Source organism: Homo sapiens, chromosome 10 (genome assembly GCF_000001405.40).
Source record: "Homo sapiens chromosome 10, GRCh38.p14 Primary Assembly".
NCBI lineage: Eukaryota > Metazoa > Chordata > Mammalia > Primates > Hominidae > Homo > Homo sapiens.
Genome location: NC_000010.11, coordinates 93,946,749 through 93,963,814, shown reverse-complemented (window position 1 = coordinate 93,963,814; position 17,066 = coordinate 93,946,749). Strand labels below are relative to the sequence as shown.

Below are 17,066 nucleotides of genomic sequence, written 5' to 3'. Positions count from 1 at the left end.
ATCTTGACTTTAGCGGTAAAAATGCATCTAGGGATACACACCCATGTAGCTGGGTATATGTCTTCCTTTGTGGCGTCTCTTTATATGCCAGAAAATCTATTTCAGTTGAGACAGATAATACCAGGCCTGCACACCCCAGGCTCCAGAGGCCCTCAGGGGAAAGAGCTGGAGAACAGCAAGTCCCCGGAACAATTGGGGAGCCTGTTCACAATTTTGGCTGTGTCGCTGCCCTGCCAGTCTGTCTGAAGCATTTGGGGAACACCCAGTCTTTGCAGAAGCTTGAACTTGGCCCTAAAGAACAAAAATGAATAAGAAATTTTCCTTGAAGCTGAGAACAGGGGCCTTCACTCTCCTGTCTAGTGTTCCTGCCATTCAGCCACATCTATATCAGAAGACCACAGCTCTCGAGCACCCAGCAAACGTATGTGCTGGGAGGAGGGGAAAACATAGATTCCTTCCCACCCCAGCCCTGGACATGCTCAGTCCTGTGGTCTCTCTACCCACCAACAGTTAGCATGTTCATCTTCTGTTGGTTTCACAAAACCACGGTGATGGTCATGCTTCTGTGCCTGGTCCAGGGTGTTGCTCAGCTGGAAGATTCATACCTCACTTCTGTGCCAAACTGACTCTCTGCTGGTCCTTCTAGACTTGGCTTGTGTTAGCCTGCTTGGAACTCTCTCCTGATCCCCCTCATCTGCAGTCTCAGTTCAGTGCTCTCCTCAGAACTCCTCCTCTAGTGTTCACCCAATTCAGTTTTGTATCTTCCTATTATGTTAACTGCTGTACTCCATTACTATCTTTTTAAAAAATAATTTGGACTCCCTTGTTAGATGGTTTGTTCAGGAGCTGACCTATCATATTTATCTCTGTATCTCCAGGACCTGGTATCATACTTGGCTTATAGCAGGTGTGATGGTTAACAGTAAGTGTCAACTTGATTGGATGGAGGGATACAAAGTATTAATCCTGGGTGTGCCTGTTTTGGTGTTGCCAAAAGAGATTAACATTTGAATCAGTGGGCCCTTAAACTGGTGGGCACAATCTAATCAGCTTCCAACGAATATAAAGCAGGCAGAAAAACGTGAAAAGAAGACACGGGTCTAGCCTCCCAGCCTACATCTTTCTCCCCTGCTGGATGCTTCCTGCCCTTGAACATCGGACTCCAAGTTCTTCAGTTTTGGGACTCGGACTGGCTCTCCTTGCTCCTCAGTTTGCAGACAGCCTATTGTGGGGCCTTGTGATTGTGTGAGTTAATACTTAATAAACTTTTATATATATATGTACATATATTTATATATATTGTGTATATATATGTATATATATTATATATATAGTATATATATGTATATATTATATATATAGTATATATGTATATATACTATATATATAGTATATATATGTGTATATATTATATATATAGTATATATATATGTATATATATATATATATCTCCTATTCGTTCTGTCCCTCTAAGAGAACCCTGACTAATACAGCAGGCATTTCATCCATTCAGAAATATTCACTGGGCATCTCCTGTGTGCCAGGTACAGTGTAAGGTGCTGCAGGTAAATAGCATTATAGTGCTTGCTGAATGAACAGTCTCTGATATAGTTTTGATATTCCCCCCCCCAAATATCACATCAAAATATGATCCCCAATGTTGGAGGTGGGGCCTTATCAGACTGGCAACCATCACCACCAGTCAGAGGCTTATTAGACTGGCAATTCTCAAACTCTATACCAGAGAAAAACGGGAACTTTTTAAAAGCACAGATTGTAGGGCCCTCACCCCAGACTTAAATAAAAATTGGGGGGACTGGAGCACATGAGTTTGGATTAAATTACAAGTGCCCCAGATGATTCTGATGTATGGGATCCACTACTCAGAAAAGAAATCCTGGCCGGGTTGGGCGATTAACAGGCGGTGGCTAGGGAGGACGGAGAGGGGGCGTTTGCTCCTCTGGGACTTTTCATGCCTCGTTTTTTTTTTCAGATGTGGCTTGGTCTGGACGCAAGGTCCCAGCAGCCAGCTTAAGCTTACTCTTCTGTGAAAGGGGAAAGTATCCCCTGTGGAAAGCAGTTAAACTTGTGGAGGGGGTGCGAGACGTGAGTTCTCCCCCATGCCAGGCGAATGGTGTGGACTTGAGCTGGTCCAGCAGCCGGCTCGACTTGTCTGAGGGAGCCCTGGAGGGGGCGGGGAGGGGGCCCACAGAACGTGGGTTCTATAAAGAGACATTGGGAAGATTCGATTCCGAGAAGAGGAAGAGCCGGATTGAAAGAGAGCCAGGCCCTTGAGGGGGAGGGGGCTGCCAAGATGGCGTCGGCCTCCTCCGGGCCGTTGTCTTCGGTCGGTTTTTCTCCGTTGATCCCGCGGTCCCTTCCTGTACCTCGTCCTCAGCATCTGGAATCAAGAGTCCCATGGCATCTGAGGTGCCTTATGCCTCTGGCATGCCCATCAAGAAAATAGGCCATAGAAGTGTTGATTCCTCAGGAGGGACAACCTCATCAGCCTTGAAAGGTGCCATCCAGTTAGGCATTACCCACACTGTGGGGAGCCTGAGTACCAAACCAGAGAGTGATGTCCTCATGCAAGATTTCCACATGGTGGAGAGTATCTTCTTTCCCAGTGAAGGGAGCAACCTGACCCCTGCTCATCACTACAATGCCTTTCGTTTCAAGACCTATGCACCTGTTGCCTTCCGCTACTTCTGGGAGCTATTTGGTATCCGGCCCGATGATTACTTGTATTCCCTCTGCAGTGAGCCGCTGATTGAACTCTGTAGCTCTGGAGCTAGTGGTTCCCTGTTCTATGTGTCCAGCGACGATGAGTTCATTGTTAAGACAGTCCGACATAAAGAAGCGGAGTTTCTGCAGAAGCTGCTTCCAGGATACTACATAAACCTCAACCAGAACCCTCGGACTTTGCTGCCTAAATTCTATGGACTGTACTGTGTGCAGACAGGTGGCAAGAACATTCGGATTGTGGTGATGAACAATCTTTTACCAAGATCGGTAAAAATGCATATCAAATATGACCTCAAAGGCTCAACCTACAGGCGGCGGGCTTCCCAGAAAGAGCGAGAGAAGCCTCTTCCCACATTTAAAGACCTAGACTTCTTACAAGACATCCCTGATGGTCTTTTTTTGGATGCTGACGTGCACAACGCTCTCTGTAAGACCCTGCAGCGTGACTGTTTGGTGCTGCAGAGCTTCAAGATAATGGATTATAGCCTCTTGATGTCAATCCATAATATAGATCATGCACAACGAGAGCCCTTAAGCAGCGAAACACAATACTCAGTTGATACTCGAAGACCAGCCCCCCAAAAGGCTCTGTATTCCACAGCCATGGAATCCATCCAGGGAGAGGCTCGACGGGGTGGCACCATGGAGACCGATGACCATATGGGTGGCATCCCTGCCCGGAATAGTAAAGGGGAAAGGCTTCTGCTTTATATTGGCATCATTGACATTCTACAGTCTTACAGGTTTGTTAAGAAGTTGGAGCACTCTTGGAAAGCCCTGATACATGACGGAGACACTGTCTCAGTGCATCGCCCAGGCTTCTATGCTGAATGGTTCCAGCGCTTCATGTGCAACACGGTATTTAAGAAGATTCCCTTGAAGCCTTCTCCTTCCAAAAAACTTCGGTCTGGCTCATCTTTCTCTCAGCGAGCAGGCTCCAGTGGCAACTCCTGCATTACTTACCAGCCATTGGTCTCTGGGGAACACAAGGCACAAGTGACAACAAAGGCGGAAGTGGAGCCAGGTGTTCACCTTGGTTGTCCTGATGTTTTACCTCAGACTCCACCTTTGGAGGAAATCAGTGAGGGCTCACCTACTCCTGACCCCAGTTTCTCACCTCTAGTTGAAGAGACTTTGCAAATGCTAACTACAAGTGTGGACAACAGTGAGTATATGGGGAATGGAGACTTCTTACCCACCCGGCTGCAGGCCCAGCAGGATGCTGTCAACACAGTTTGTCATTCAAAGACCCGCAGCAACCCTGAGAACAACGTGGGCCTTATCACACTGGATAATGACTGTGAAGTGCTGACCACACTCACCCCAGACACTGGCCGTATCCTGTCCAAGCTACATACTGTCCAACCCAAGGGCAAGATCACCTTCTGCATGGGCATCCACGTGGCCCATCTGGCTCTGAAGCACCGACAAGGCAACAATCACAAGATCCGCATCATTGCCTTTGTGGGAAACCCGGTGGAGGACAATGAGAAGAATCTGGTGAAACTGGCTAAATGCCTCAAGAAGGAGAAAGTAAATGTTGACATTATCAATTTTGGGGAAGAGGAGGTGAACACAGAAAAGCTGACAGCCTTTGTAAACACGTTGAATGGCAAAGATGGAACCGGTTCTCATCTGGTGACAGTGCCTCCTGGGCCCAGTTTGGCTGATGCTCTCATCAGTTTTCCGATTTTGGCTGGTGAAGGTGGTGCCATGATGGGTCTTGGTGCCAGTGACTTTGAATTTGGAGTAGATCCCAGTGCTGATCCTGAGCTGGCCTTGGTCCTTCGTGTATTTATGGAAGAGCAGCGGCAGCGGCAGGAGGAGGAGGCCCGGCAGGCAGCTGCAGCTTCTGCTGCTGAGGCCGGGATTGCTACGACTGGGACTGAAGACTCAGACGATGCCCTGCTGAAGATGACCATCAGCCAGCAAGAGTTTGGCCACACTGGGCTTCCTGACCTAAGCAGTATGACTGAGGAAGAGAAGATTGTTTGTGCCATGCAGATGTCCCTGCAGGGAGCAGAGTTTGGCCTGGCAGAATCAGCAGACATTGATGCCAGCTCAGCCATGGACACATCTGAGCCAGCCAAGGAGGAGGATGATTACGACGTGATGCAAGACCCTGAGTTCCTTCAGAGTGTCCTAGAGAACCTCCCAGGTGTGGATCCCAACAATGAAGCCATTCGAAATGCTGTGGGCTCCCTGGCCTCCCAGGCCACCAAGGACAGCAAGAAGGACAAGAAGGAGGAAGACAAGAAGTGAGACTGGAGGGAAAGGGTAGCTGAGCCTGCTCAGGGGACTGCATGGGAAGCACGGAATATAGGGTTAGATGTGTGTTATCTGTAATCATTATAGCCTAAATAAAGCTTGGCAAGATTTTTTCCTTCTTTGCTTCAAAAAAAAAAGAAAGAAAGAAAGAAAGAAAGAAAGAAAGAAAGAAAGAAAGAAAGAAAGAAAGAAAGAAAAGAAAAGAAAAGAAAAGAAATCCTGATGCCTAAATCTGACCCCTTGAAATGCTGATGAGCTTCATCTGAGCTGTGTGATCTCTCATGTGCAGCTAAGGTTGAGAACCACTAACATAAAATAATTCACATTAAAATCACCAGGAAGCTTTAATAACATTTCAAATACTTGGACCCAACCCCTAAAGATTCTAATTTAATTGGCCTGGGACTCAGGTACTGATATTTTTCAAAAGCTCACAAGGTAATTCTGAAATTCAGCAAAAGTTGAGAACCACTATTCAGACTAAGTGACTTGTCCAATGTCTCTGGGTGCATCAGACTTTACGGCCTTCCTTACACAGGGGTTGTGAATGAAATATGGCTATGGAAAGCAATTGTTGAGTAATATGTTATAAAGTATGGTGGTGATGATGATGATGACAATGATGACAATATTTCTTGAGTGCGTCCTATGCACCAGGCACTATGCTAAGCATTTTATGAGCTTAATCTTATTGAATCTTCAACATTAGCCTGCTGGTATTATTTTCCCTTTTCCTTGATTATAATATGTCATCAGTTGAGGATGACAATTTAATAACAGTTATTAGAGGCTGTTGCTTGTTAATAGGAAAATATTTATTCAGTCCTCCAGAGACAAAGATTTGCTTTGATCAGAATAAATGTAAATTTTGATTTATTTAACATGAAATGCAAATAAACATGTGTGCTGCTATCAATGCAAATCACTCATCCCATGTGATATCAAATAAGCAGATACCTTCTATGTAGCCCTCCAAGTTCACCTACATTCACAAATGTTACTTATATCTCATACTGGGGTATCCATACTGGGCCTGGAAGCTGGCAAGTTTATTTAGACACATTCCATTTCAGGAATAATAAAATGCAGGGAAAATGTGTATCTTTGAGTCACAGAATCATGGTATTATTCTTATTTTCAGGTGAGACTTTAAAAGATTAAGTGACTTGCCTATAGTCCCAGGGTTCATTCTACAGCCAAGCCAGAAATAACAACCCAGTGCCCCTGATGCTGGAATTCTCCAGAAGCTCCTCTACTGACATAGTTTCCACTGACAAACTTTCCTTGACAAGAATAAAGTAGTCTGTCAGAACAAAATTTTGCCAGCTCTGTCTACTGCCAGCACTTGGAAATAGGAGTCCCATGGGGTTTGCAAACAAATGAAAGCAGTGGTGGGCTTGCAAGACCTCACCAGTCCTTAGAGTTCAGTTGATATGTCTCTCAATACAATGCAGGAACTAATTTTAAAGCATTTTGAAACAAGCACAATAACTGAAAATTCTGAGTTCAACAAGAAACAAATGCATTTAATCTTTGAAGAAAAATCAAGTCAATTAAGAAATGAAAATAGGTTGAGACTAGACGAATAAGAATGGAAATGATCGATTGGAGAAGTTTTCAGCCTTGAACAGGCCATTACCAAGTGGTCAGTATGACCACATTTATCTGATATTATTTGGTCCTTTTCTTTCTTTTAAAAGTACTATTTAGTTATAAGAATCTTAAATGCTGGCTGGTGCAGTGGCTCATGCCTGTAATCTCAGCACTTAGGGAGACTGAGGCTGGAGGATCGCTTGAGCTCAGGAGTTTGAAACCAACCTGGGCAACATGGTGAGACCTTATCTCTACCAAAAGTAAAAAAAAATAGTTGGACATCGTGGCATGAGCCTGTAGTCCCAGCTACTTGGGAGGCTGAGGTGGGAGGATCACTTGAGCCTGGCAGATGGAGGCTGTGGTGAACTGTGATCTTGCCAAGACCGTGTCTCAAAAAAAAGAAAGAAAGAAAGAAAGAAAGAAAGAAAGAAAGAAAGAAAGAAAGAAAGAAAGAAAGAAAGAAAGAAAAGAAAAAAGAAAATTAAACACCACTTTTTAAAAAAAAGCAACAAAGAAAATTTGGACATTAAGAGAATAAACATTCCCATTAATCCCATCTCCACTCTCCTAAGAGATCATCAGTTTAGTGCCTGCTTTTCCAAAAATATATGTCAAAAATGATTTCTCTTTCTTAAAGAGAAAGTATATATCTATAGTCTTAACTTTCCTTTTTTTTCCAACTATATAAATATAGTGGCCACCATACATTATTTTAAGCAGAAGGTAAATTAAACGATCCACTGCGAACACTTTGGATTTCTTTTGTAGCTCCCAATGTTTGTTTGGCAAGATAGAAATGCCCTTAAATGCAGCCTTATTGTCCCAGCTTTAGTAAAATTCTATTTATAAATCAAATCCAAAGTAACCAGAGACGTTGGCATAATCTTTGGTATTCTCTGCCGGTACAGAGAAATCTCAATTTGTGGTTTCCAACATTTGTAAGGTGGTAAATAGCAACCTCCCTCCACTGTTCCTCCCACCTCAAGTCAGCAGGGTGCTGGTAAACTGGCTTGGGTGGGAGTGAGGGGAACCCCTGGTGTGTCGTATTTACTGACTTCCATTGGGTAAATGCTCCATGATTGGCTCACAAAATTTCCTAATATTTAACAATTGGTGTTGAACTGTTCTAACACATCAGTGTCAAGCCATTCGATGACCAATTATGGCACATATATGACCCTTTTATCTTGATATAACACTCATGCAGGCTTATTTCATACATGTAGTCACTGCACCTACAAGAAACGTATAACAGAATGAATGACCCAAAGCCAACAACTGTGGGGAAAAGTGAATTAGACAACATCTCTCTCATATTTCTCTATTTATGAGAGGAAATTCTAGCATATAACCTCCAAGTATGATGAAGTTCTTCTGTAGACATGTAGGTATCAGTATTATGCTAACATTTTTTCTTTTCCTAGATAAAAATAAAGTAGCCCACAAGCCTGGTTTTATGTTATGTTAACATTCATTAGGTATTCTTTGCAATTTTCCCTTTTGCAGCTATTAAATCACTTATTCCTTCAATATTTTTTCCTGCATAATGATTTTTTTATAGAAGCTAATACAGTAAGCATTTTAAAGTCTTACCAGTTGTGACATTGAAATAATGAGACTTTAAAGTCCAACCACGTATCTGGAAATATAGGAACACCATTCATTTATTTTTTAGAAGACCACACACTCATGCTAATGAGGATGCCATTGCTTAAAATGTTTTGGAAATTCTCTTTAGGAATTGTTTTTGGCACAAGATTATGCAGTATGGATGAATATTAGTTTCACTGCCCTAATAGTGGTGCTTCATATTTTTCTAATTAAAATTATAAAATACAACCTCTGATAAAGGGTAAAGAGCATTGGATGTTGATTCAGAAGATCTGGACTCAAGTTTAACCTCTGCCACCTACTCGTTTTGTACTCTGCATATCCCTTAACTGCTCCTAACCTCACTTTCCTTCTCTGCAATTTGAGAATAAAAGTACACTCGTGCGTTGCTTAACAGCGGGGATGTGTTCTGAGAACCACATTGTTAGGTGACTTCATTGTTGTGTGAACATCGTAGAGTTTACTTACACAGCCTAGATGGTATAGCCTACCAAACACCTAGGCTAGCCCCTATTGCTTCAGAGCTACAAACCTGTACAGCATGTTCTGAATACTGTAGGCAATTGCAGCACAATGATAAGTGTTTGTGTATCTAAACATACTCAGTATAGAAAAGGTACAGTAAAAATATGTATAATCAATAAAAAATGGTACATCTGTATAGGGCATTTATTATGAATGGAGCCTGCAGGAGTGGAAGTTGCTCTGGGTGAGTCAGTGAGTGAGTGGTGAGTGACTGTGAAGGCCTAGGACATGACTGTACACTAGAGTAAACTATAAACACTGTACACTTAGGCTACACTAAATTTATTTTTAAAAATTCCTTTCTTCAATAATAAATTAACCTTAGCTTACTATAGTTTTTTACTTTATAAATTTTTATTTTTATTAACTTTTTGACTCGTAATCACACAGCTTAAAACACAAATACATTGTACAGTTGTACAAAATATTTTCTTTATATCTTTATTCTGTGATATGGTTAAGCTTTGCGTTCCCACCCAAATCTCACCTTGAATTGTAATAATCCCTACGTGTCAAGGGCGGGGCGAGGTAGAGATAATTGAATCATCGGGGCAGTTTCCCCCATACTGTTCTCATGGTAGTGAAAAAGTCTCATGGGGTCTGATGATTTTATACATGGGAGTTCCCCTGCCTAAGCTCTCTTGCCACCCCCATGTAAGACAAGACTTTGCTCCTCATTCGCCTTCCGCCATGACTGTGAGGCCTCCTCAGCCATGTGGAACTGTGAGTCAATTAAACCTCTTTCTTTTATACATTACCCAGTAGCAGGTTTATCTTTATTAGCATCATGAGAACAGACTAATACATTCTGTAAGCTTTTTTTCTATTTTTAATATTTTTTATTTTATTTACCTTTTAAACTTTTTTCTTAAAAACTAAGACACAAATACACACATTAGCCTACCAGGGTCAGGATCATTTATATCACTGTCTTCCGCCTCCACATCTTGACTGACTGGAAGGCCTTCAGGGACAGGAACATGCATGGAGCTGTCGTCTCCTGTGATAGCAATGCCTTCTTGTCCATACCTCCTGAAGGACCTGCCTGAGGCTATTTTACAGTTCTAAAAAAAAATAAGTAGAAGGAGTATACTTTAAAATAATGATAAAAAGTATAGTATAGTAAATACTAGGTGATAAGAATTTTTCAGCTCCATTATAATCTTATGGGACCACTGTCATATATGTGGTTTATCACTGAGTGAAATGTCATTGTGTGGTGCATGACTGTACCTGCTCCAGGAGTTGTCCTGAAGATTAAATAATACAAGGCATTGTGATAACACCTTGTGAAATGAAACACGCTATCCAAATGAAAGTCATCATTGGTCTAGCTTGATTAGAATTGAATGGGCTTGGCTATTTCCAAAATTCAGATGTATTCCCTGAAAGCATAAATGTTCCATCATCAAAAAAAGTGTAGTGTAAAAAGAAATATGCTTGGACTTTGTCTCAGTTCTTGGCTCAGAGCTCATAAAGCCCTTGGAATTTCCTGAATGACAGGAGTGTCTTTGGTTCTTTGCAAGGAGCCCCTTTCGAACATGCCTGAGTTTATGCTAATGAGGTGATTTAGAGTGGGACCCAGATAGTGTCATGATGGGGCCAGTCACCAGAAGGATTATAGAAATTTGGGACTTTCATCCCAGTTCACCTACCCCTCAGCAGGGGATGAGGAATGGAATTCAAGCTGTTAAAAACACATATACACCATGGAATACTATGCAGCCATACAAAATGATGAGTTCATGTCCTTTGTAGGGACAAGGATGAAATTGGAAATCATCATTCTCAGTAAACTATCGCAAGAACAAAAAACCAAACACCGCATATTCTCACTCATAGGTGGGAATTGAACAATGAGAACACATGGACACAGGAAGGGGAACATCACACTCTGGGGACTGTGGTGGGGTGGGGGGAGGGGGAGGGATAGCATTAGGAGATATACCTAATGCTAGATGACGAGTTAGTGGGTGCAGCGCACCAGCATGGCACATGTATACATATGTAACTAACCTGCACAATGTGCACATGTACCCTAAAACTTAAAGTATAATAAAAAATTAAAAAAAAAACAAACTCTCAAACAACAAGATTTGATGACTTTCCAGGTGGGTGAACACATGGAGGTGATGGGAGGGTGGGCACCTGGAGAAGGTGTGGAAACTCCACACTCCTCACCTTGAACTCCAGACCTTGCCCTGTGTAGCTCTTCCATCTGGCTGTTCCTGAGCTATACCCTGTATAATAAACTAATAAATGTAAGCAAAGTGTTTCCCTGAGTTCTGAACTATTCTAGCAAATTATCAAACCTGGGGGGAGGGGGGTCTTAGAAACCCTCAGTTTATAGAGGATTGGTCAGAAGTAAGGAAGGCCCGCACTTTCATCTGGCACCTGAAGTAGGGGCAGTCTGTGGGACTGAGCCTTTTCACTTGTGGGATCTGAGGCTACTCATCTGGTAGATAGTGTCAGGATTGAATTAAATTGTAGGACCCCACTCCCTCCCCGACCCCGCCTCACCCCACCCCCATGTCGGGAGACTTGGTTGGTGTGGGGAACCCTCCATGCCCCACATTTGGTGTTAGAAATGTTGTGTGAGTCTAGAGAGTATTTTTTTCAGAGTATTCAAAATAATTTGGAAGACACTTACATGGATCCCTCAGGTCAGTTTATTGAACCCAAATGAGGACTCAGGGATTATGGGCCCTAGATCATTTTGAGATCTGAGATCCAGAGAAAGCGTATCCTGTACTGAAGCCCTCCTCACTCTCCAGGTCCTTAGTGTTCTCATTTCTTCCTGATTCTCTGCTTCCCACCCACTCCACTGGATGAAAGCAGGATGGCTGCATGAGGGCATTTATGATAATAAATTTGAAAAGATCCTGGCCGGGCTTTTGACAAGAACATCTTCATCTCTCTCTCACGCCAGCAGCCTGGGCCAGCCAGCTCTCCTCCTTTTGAATGCCTCACTCAGTATTGCTGCTATTCTTGCCATTTTAAGATAGCTTTGACCTGAGGGGCAGGATCACAAATTCCACAGTGGAGCACAGGGCATGAAGAGGTTGTTCTGTCATAGTCTGAGGCTATGAGGGAGAAATTAACCTCAGGCCCAGCAGATTCCAACCAGCCCACCCCTAATCAGATAGGTCATATGAATGAAACATTTAACCAGGTTATCCAGTTTCTTGCTGTAAAACTAGCCCTTTGCAGTCTGCTGGAGCAATTACTGAAGTCTGTCATCTGCAATGCTCCTTTCACATCTAAAAGTGTTCTTTCTTTTCATTTTTCATGTTAATCAAAACAATAAATAGCAACCACTTAGGTATCCCAACAATGACTGCACTACATATAGTTTACAAATCAGAACAACAGATAAATACATATCATTTTACTGCATGCTATATTTTTTTTCGTTGTAGATTTAAAAGTGTGCTTTGTTTGTAAGAAAATAAGTAAAGAAAACTGCTTCACATTCTAAGGTGAAAAGAAATCCTCTCACGTGTCGCTGTAAAATTTTCATTTATGGTGATGAGTTGTCCTGTGTCAAAACATCCTTATTAACAGACATTTTACTGTGAGCGCTCTCTCTTTATTGTGTTGTCTGATAGTGCAGGGTTTTGTAGTGAATACAAGTAAAGTATGAACTGTCTAAACAAAAAAGCAAACACAGGCCAGGTGTGGTGGCTGACACCTGTAAGCCCAGCTACTTGGGAGGCTGAGGCACAAGAATCACTTGAACCCGGGAGGCGAAGGTTGCAGTGAGCTAAGATCGTGCCACTGCACTCCAGCCTGGGCAACAGAGTGAGACTCTGTCTCAAAAACAAACTAGCAAACCCCACAAATCTAATAATATTTGAAAAGACACAACAGTTTCAGTGACAGATTAAACACAAAAAATACACTGGCCCATGATTTGGTTATCCTTGGTTAGAGCCACTGTATATTATAAAAATTTAAAAACAAATTCTTGGTTTTTTAAAGGAATTCCTTGAGATGAGGGAATTTTAATGAGCTACTTCTATTGGTATTCTTCAACCATCAGTTTAGAAGCTAAGTATTTGATGTTTCAAGGTAAATTAGATTTTGAAGCAGCAGACCAAATATTCAGTTCTCATCCACCAGTAAACAATACTTCACGCCCATTTTATAAAGCTTTCAGTTATGTTTTTCCTTATCTGCTGCTGCTGCCTGTAGGCATTTGCAAAACATACATCATGGCTCCTGGTCATTAGTCCCATCAATTATTAGTTTCTCAAATTCAAGCACAACCTCCAAGGTCTTAGTGTTAATGTTAAATTACTTAATTGAAGAATAAGAAATGATGAGACTAAACCTTCTGTCTTGTCTCCTAATGGAGACTTAATAGTCTTTCCCAAGGGGTATTTTAAATATAAATATTTTTAAAATTTAAAGGAAGTTCATTTTACAACTTAAAGGTGATTTCCCTTCAGAATGTTAAGCACTTTTCCTTGTTTATTTTCTTATAAACAAAGCTCACTTTTAAATATAAAATGCAAAAAAGATACAGAGTACAGTAAAATGATACATATTTATCTGTTGATCTGTTTAGTAAACCATATGTAGTGCAATCATTGTTGAAATACAAAATAAAGACTAAAATAATGAACATAAAAGTAACCTGTAGTCTCACCATCAAAAGAATAATTTAACATTTTGATGTATATCCTTTATAAAATATTGTATTTCAACTGCAAATGTATTTATTAAGTGTTTAGTATATACCCAGAACTGTTCTGGGTGCTGAGAGAGAGATAAATGAACATAGTCTTCATCCCCCAAGGGCTTACAAATAAGGTATTCATCTTATTGATAAAGGCCTAGTTTGTTGATAGAAAAGTTAGTTGATAGTTGTTAATTTTCCACATTTTGAGTATTTATAGGCTTTAAGCTCAATTGAAAAGAGTTCTCTCCCAGGTATGTCAAGTCTGTTACAACCTCTTTTTAACTTACTGCCTTTTGTGTCTTGTTCACTGGGCCCAGATTGTACTTAATGGATTTGATGGTATCCAGACATATTTAGTTACACTGATTCCTCTAATAAAACAGTCATTTCTCAGTGTACATTATGTTAGTTCCTTGGAATGGAGATAGGTGTTATATAGGGAAATAGATTTTATGGCCAGAAATGTTTGGGAAATTCTGTGTTAAACAATCATGTAGAATACAAAATCAATTGTTTGATGAGTGATCAATCTAAATGTGGAAGATAAATCTATCCAGCCTGTAGAAGAAAATGTAGGAAAATATTTTCATGACCATGAAGTAGGCAAAGATTTCTTAGGACATCAAAACAGGACAAATTTGACTTCAACAAAATTAAAAACATTAATCAAAAGATGTAGTTTTCCTTTTTTAAAGAAATAGTTAAATTGAAAGACAATTCATAGACTGTGAGAAAATATTCACAATACATATATCTGACAAAGTACTCACATCAAAATACTGATATCAGAATATATAAAGAACTACAAATTAATAATAAAAAAGACAAAACTAAAAAAGATCAGGCAAAAGGCTTGAAGAGATACTTGACATAAAAAATATATAAACACTCAATAAGTGCATGAAAAGGTGCTTAACATTAACAGTAATCAAGAAAATGCAATTAAAACCATGATATAGTACCACTTCACATCAACTGCAATGAGACTAACTAAGATTTAAATACCAAGCATCAGAAAATATATGAACTGGCTGTGATACACTGATAACAGGAATATAAAGTGGTATGATCACTTTGGAAAAGAGTTTACCGCTAAACAGATAGCTACTGGTAGCTATAATTGCACTCCTAGTTGAACTTCTCAGCATCTGTATATTTATATATATTATTTGACACACACACACACACACAGTGAAAACCTTGCTGCACCCAAGAGGAATAAGAGTATGTCCACAAAAATACTGGTATAAAGAACGTTCATAGCAGCTTTATTTATAATGGGAATGAACTACTAGTTCACACAGTGTACATGAACTAGTGTGATTCACAAAACAACAGAAACATTGTATCAAGGGAAAGAAGCAGGCACAAACTAGTACCTACTATAAGAATATGTGAAACTAAGCTATGGTGATAAAAATCATTTAGGATGATTGCCTCTGGAGAAGGTCTTGGGGTAACTAGAAAGGAATACCAGGAACTTTGTGGAGTAATGGAAATGTTCTCTCTCTTAATTTAGGCGGTGGTATTACAAGTGTATACTTTTTTTAGCTTTTAATTTTGATGTACATAATTTTCAATTTACAGAAAACTTGCAAAGCCAGGACAAGAACTTCCGTATTCTGTATCTAGGTTCCCCAACTGTTAGGCGTATGTATTTGTTGAAATTAATTGAACCATATGCTTCAAATATGGATGTAAATGTTACCTTAATAAATAAAGTGGGGGGAAAAGCTATTTTACTGAATAACTTCTCAGAATTAGTTAAGTCTCCAAAAAATGTATACTTTATGTATTACCTCCCTAATTTTTTTGGATGAGAAACCTAGTTTTCAACAAAAACCTGCTGGGCCAATGTCTCAATGAATGCTCATTGGGACCCAATGCTCTAGTACAGCACTTCTCAGCCCTGAGCGCTCATTGGAATCACCTGAGGAGCTTTTCAAACCTTCTAAAGTCCAAGCTGCACCTCAGTCTAAATAAATTACACTCACCAGTGGAGCCAAGGAAGCAATCTGTTTATATCCCAGGTGAGAGCTGGGCGTGACACTTATAATCCCAGCTACTTGGGAGGCTGAGGTTGGAGGATCACTTGAGCCCAAGAATTTGAATCCAGCCTGGGTAATACAGTGACACTCCCATTTTAAAACAAAACAACAACAACAAATAAATCTCAGATGAATCCAGTGTGAGCCATGGCTGAGAACCACTGTTTTACGAAAATATCATCTCACTTTTAAGAATTGACACTTGCCCACGGTAGGGTGGCCGAGTGGTCTAAGGCGCTGGATTAAGAATTGACACTTGCCCAATTAGACAGAGGCTCACACTTAATAAACATTACCAAGACCAGCAACCTGGTGTCCTCCCTCGATGGATATCTGCATTGGGAGCAGGGATCTATCGTACTGATTAGTGCCCACCTGGCTGGCTCTCTGACTGTAGGACCCTGGCTTCTCCCCTTCAGACCTCTGTTTCCTGCCTGCAGTTCACTTCAGTGGATGTCCTCTCTGGACAAGGTGCCCAGGTAGACCTAGAGTATTTGCCTATTTTTTTCCAACCCAGCTCTATACTATTAAGTGGTCTGATTGGTTGCCTAGCCCCCTGTCATGTGACCAGCACCCAATGAGAACAAGGCTTTGGTTTCTTGGGCAGTTCAGTTTGTATACTGAACTTTCTCAAGCCATCCTACTTCCCACTGTGTTTCTAGACCTGTTTCTTATCAAAGCTTCTGGTCTCTTGCCTCATTCTTTACCACAGTCTCAAACTGACCTCTTATATCTGGTAATTCATATTGCTGCTTTGCCCCAGCTGTTGGCTCCAAATGAGACTGCACTTCATGCATCTATCACAGGAGTTTCCTCTACCCTCTCTGGTGCCAGCACTTTCTGCCTCAACGAGGACCCCTCTCTGTTGCTAGCCGGGTAAGCCTCCGCTTAAGAAAGAGAATGGGGCAGTTTCTCTGTGCCTCAGCTAACCTCCCTGGTCTCACCTAAATGTGCAGTTCGGCCCTGATAACTCTCACTTGGCTGGTCTTACTCTCTCACATGGCCTGGCCAGCCTCATATTTCCGTTCGTTGGACACCACAGGGAATTAGGCATCCGGCTGAAGCCACTATATCAGGTTTCTGTGTGCTTCCGAGGGGCTGGTGTCTGCCCTACATTCCATTCTACTGACCATGTGGTACATTCTCGGTGCAGGCGGCTAGATGAAGTGCGTATCAGAAAATACAGCTGCTCACACCTCAGAACTCCAAGTGCCCTCTCTGTCATCCATCTCTCCTGGCTCAGGCCTGCCCCTTCCTGACCTGGGCCACAGCTTTGATCCAGCATTTATCTTTATTTCTATTCATGGTTTATATCTGCCCCTAGCCTCAAACCCATGTCATAGATCCCTCCAAGGGGATGGAGAGGCCACATTCCTGGCACCAGGTTCATGGACATCTGTTGTTTTGCCCGCTTGGCCTCTCCACTCCCTTCTCCTGATAACAACACCCAGCTTTCGCTTAAGAAAACCAATACTCACCTCCAGTCAGAAATAACATAGATTCAGCATACATGTCAAGTGTCCCTCCCTTGACCACGGCATGGGCAGAAGTCCCAAACTAAATCATTCCAATATTCACTCTCTGAAATTTGA

The 17,066-nt window shown here is 41.5% G+C and overlaps 1 pseudogene across 1 annotated transcript; it reads left to right on the top strand.

Moving 5' to 3' along the window:
- The first annotated feature begins 1,899 nt into the window (after positions 1–1,899).
- Positions 1,900–5,675, top strand: PIPSL (PIP5K1A and PSMD4 like (pseudogene); annotated as a pseudogene). The gene has a single exon (NR_002319.2). The product of NR_002319.2 is annotated as a PIP5K1A and PSMD4 like (pseudogene) (transcript).
- Positions 5,676–17,066: the final 11,391 nt, after the last annotated feature.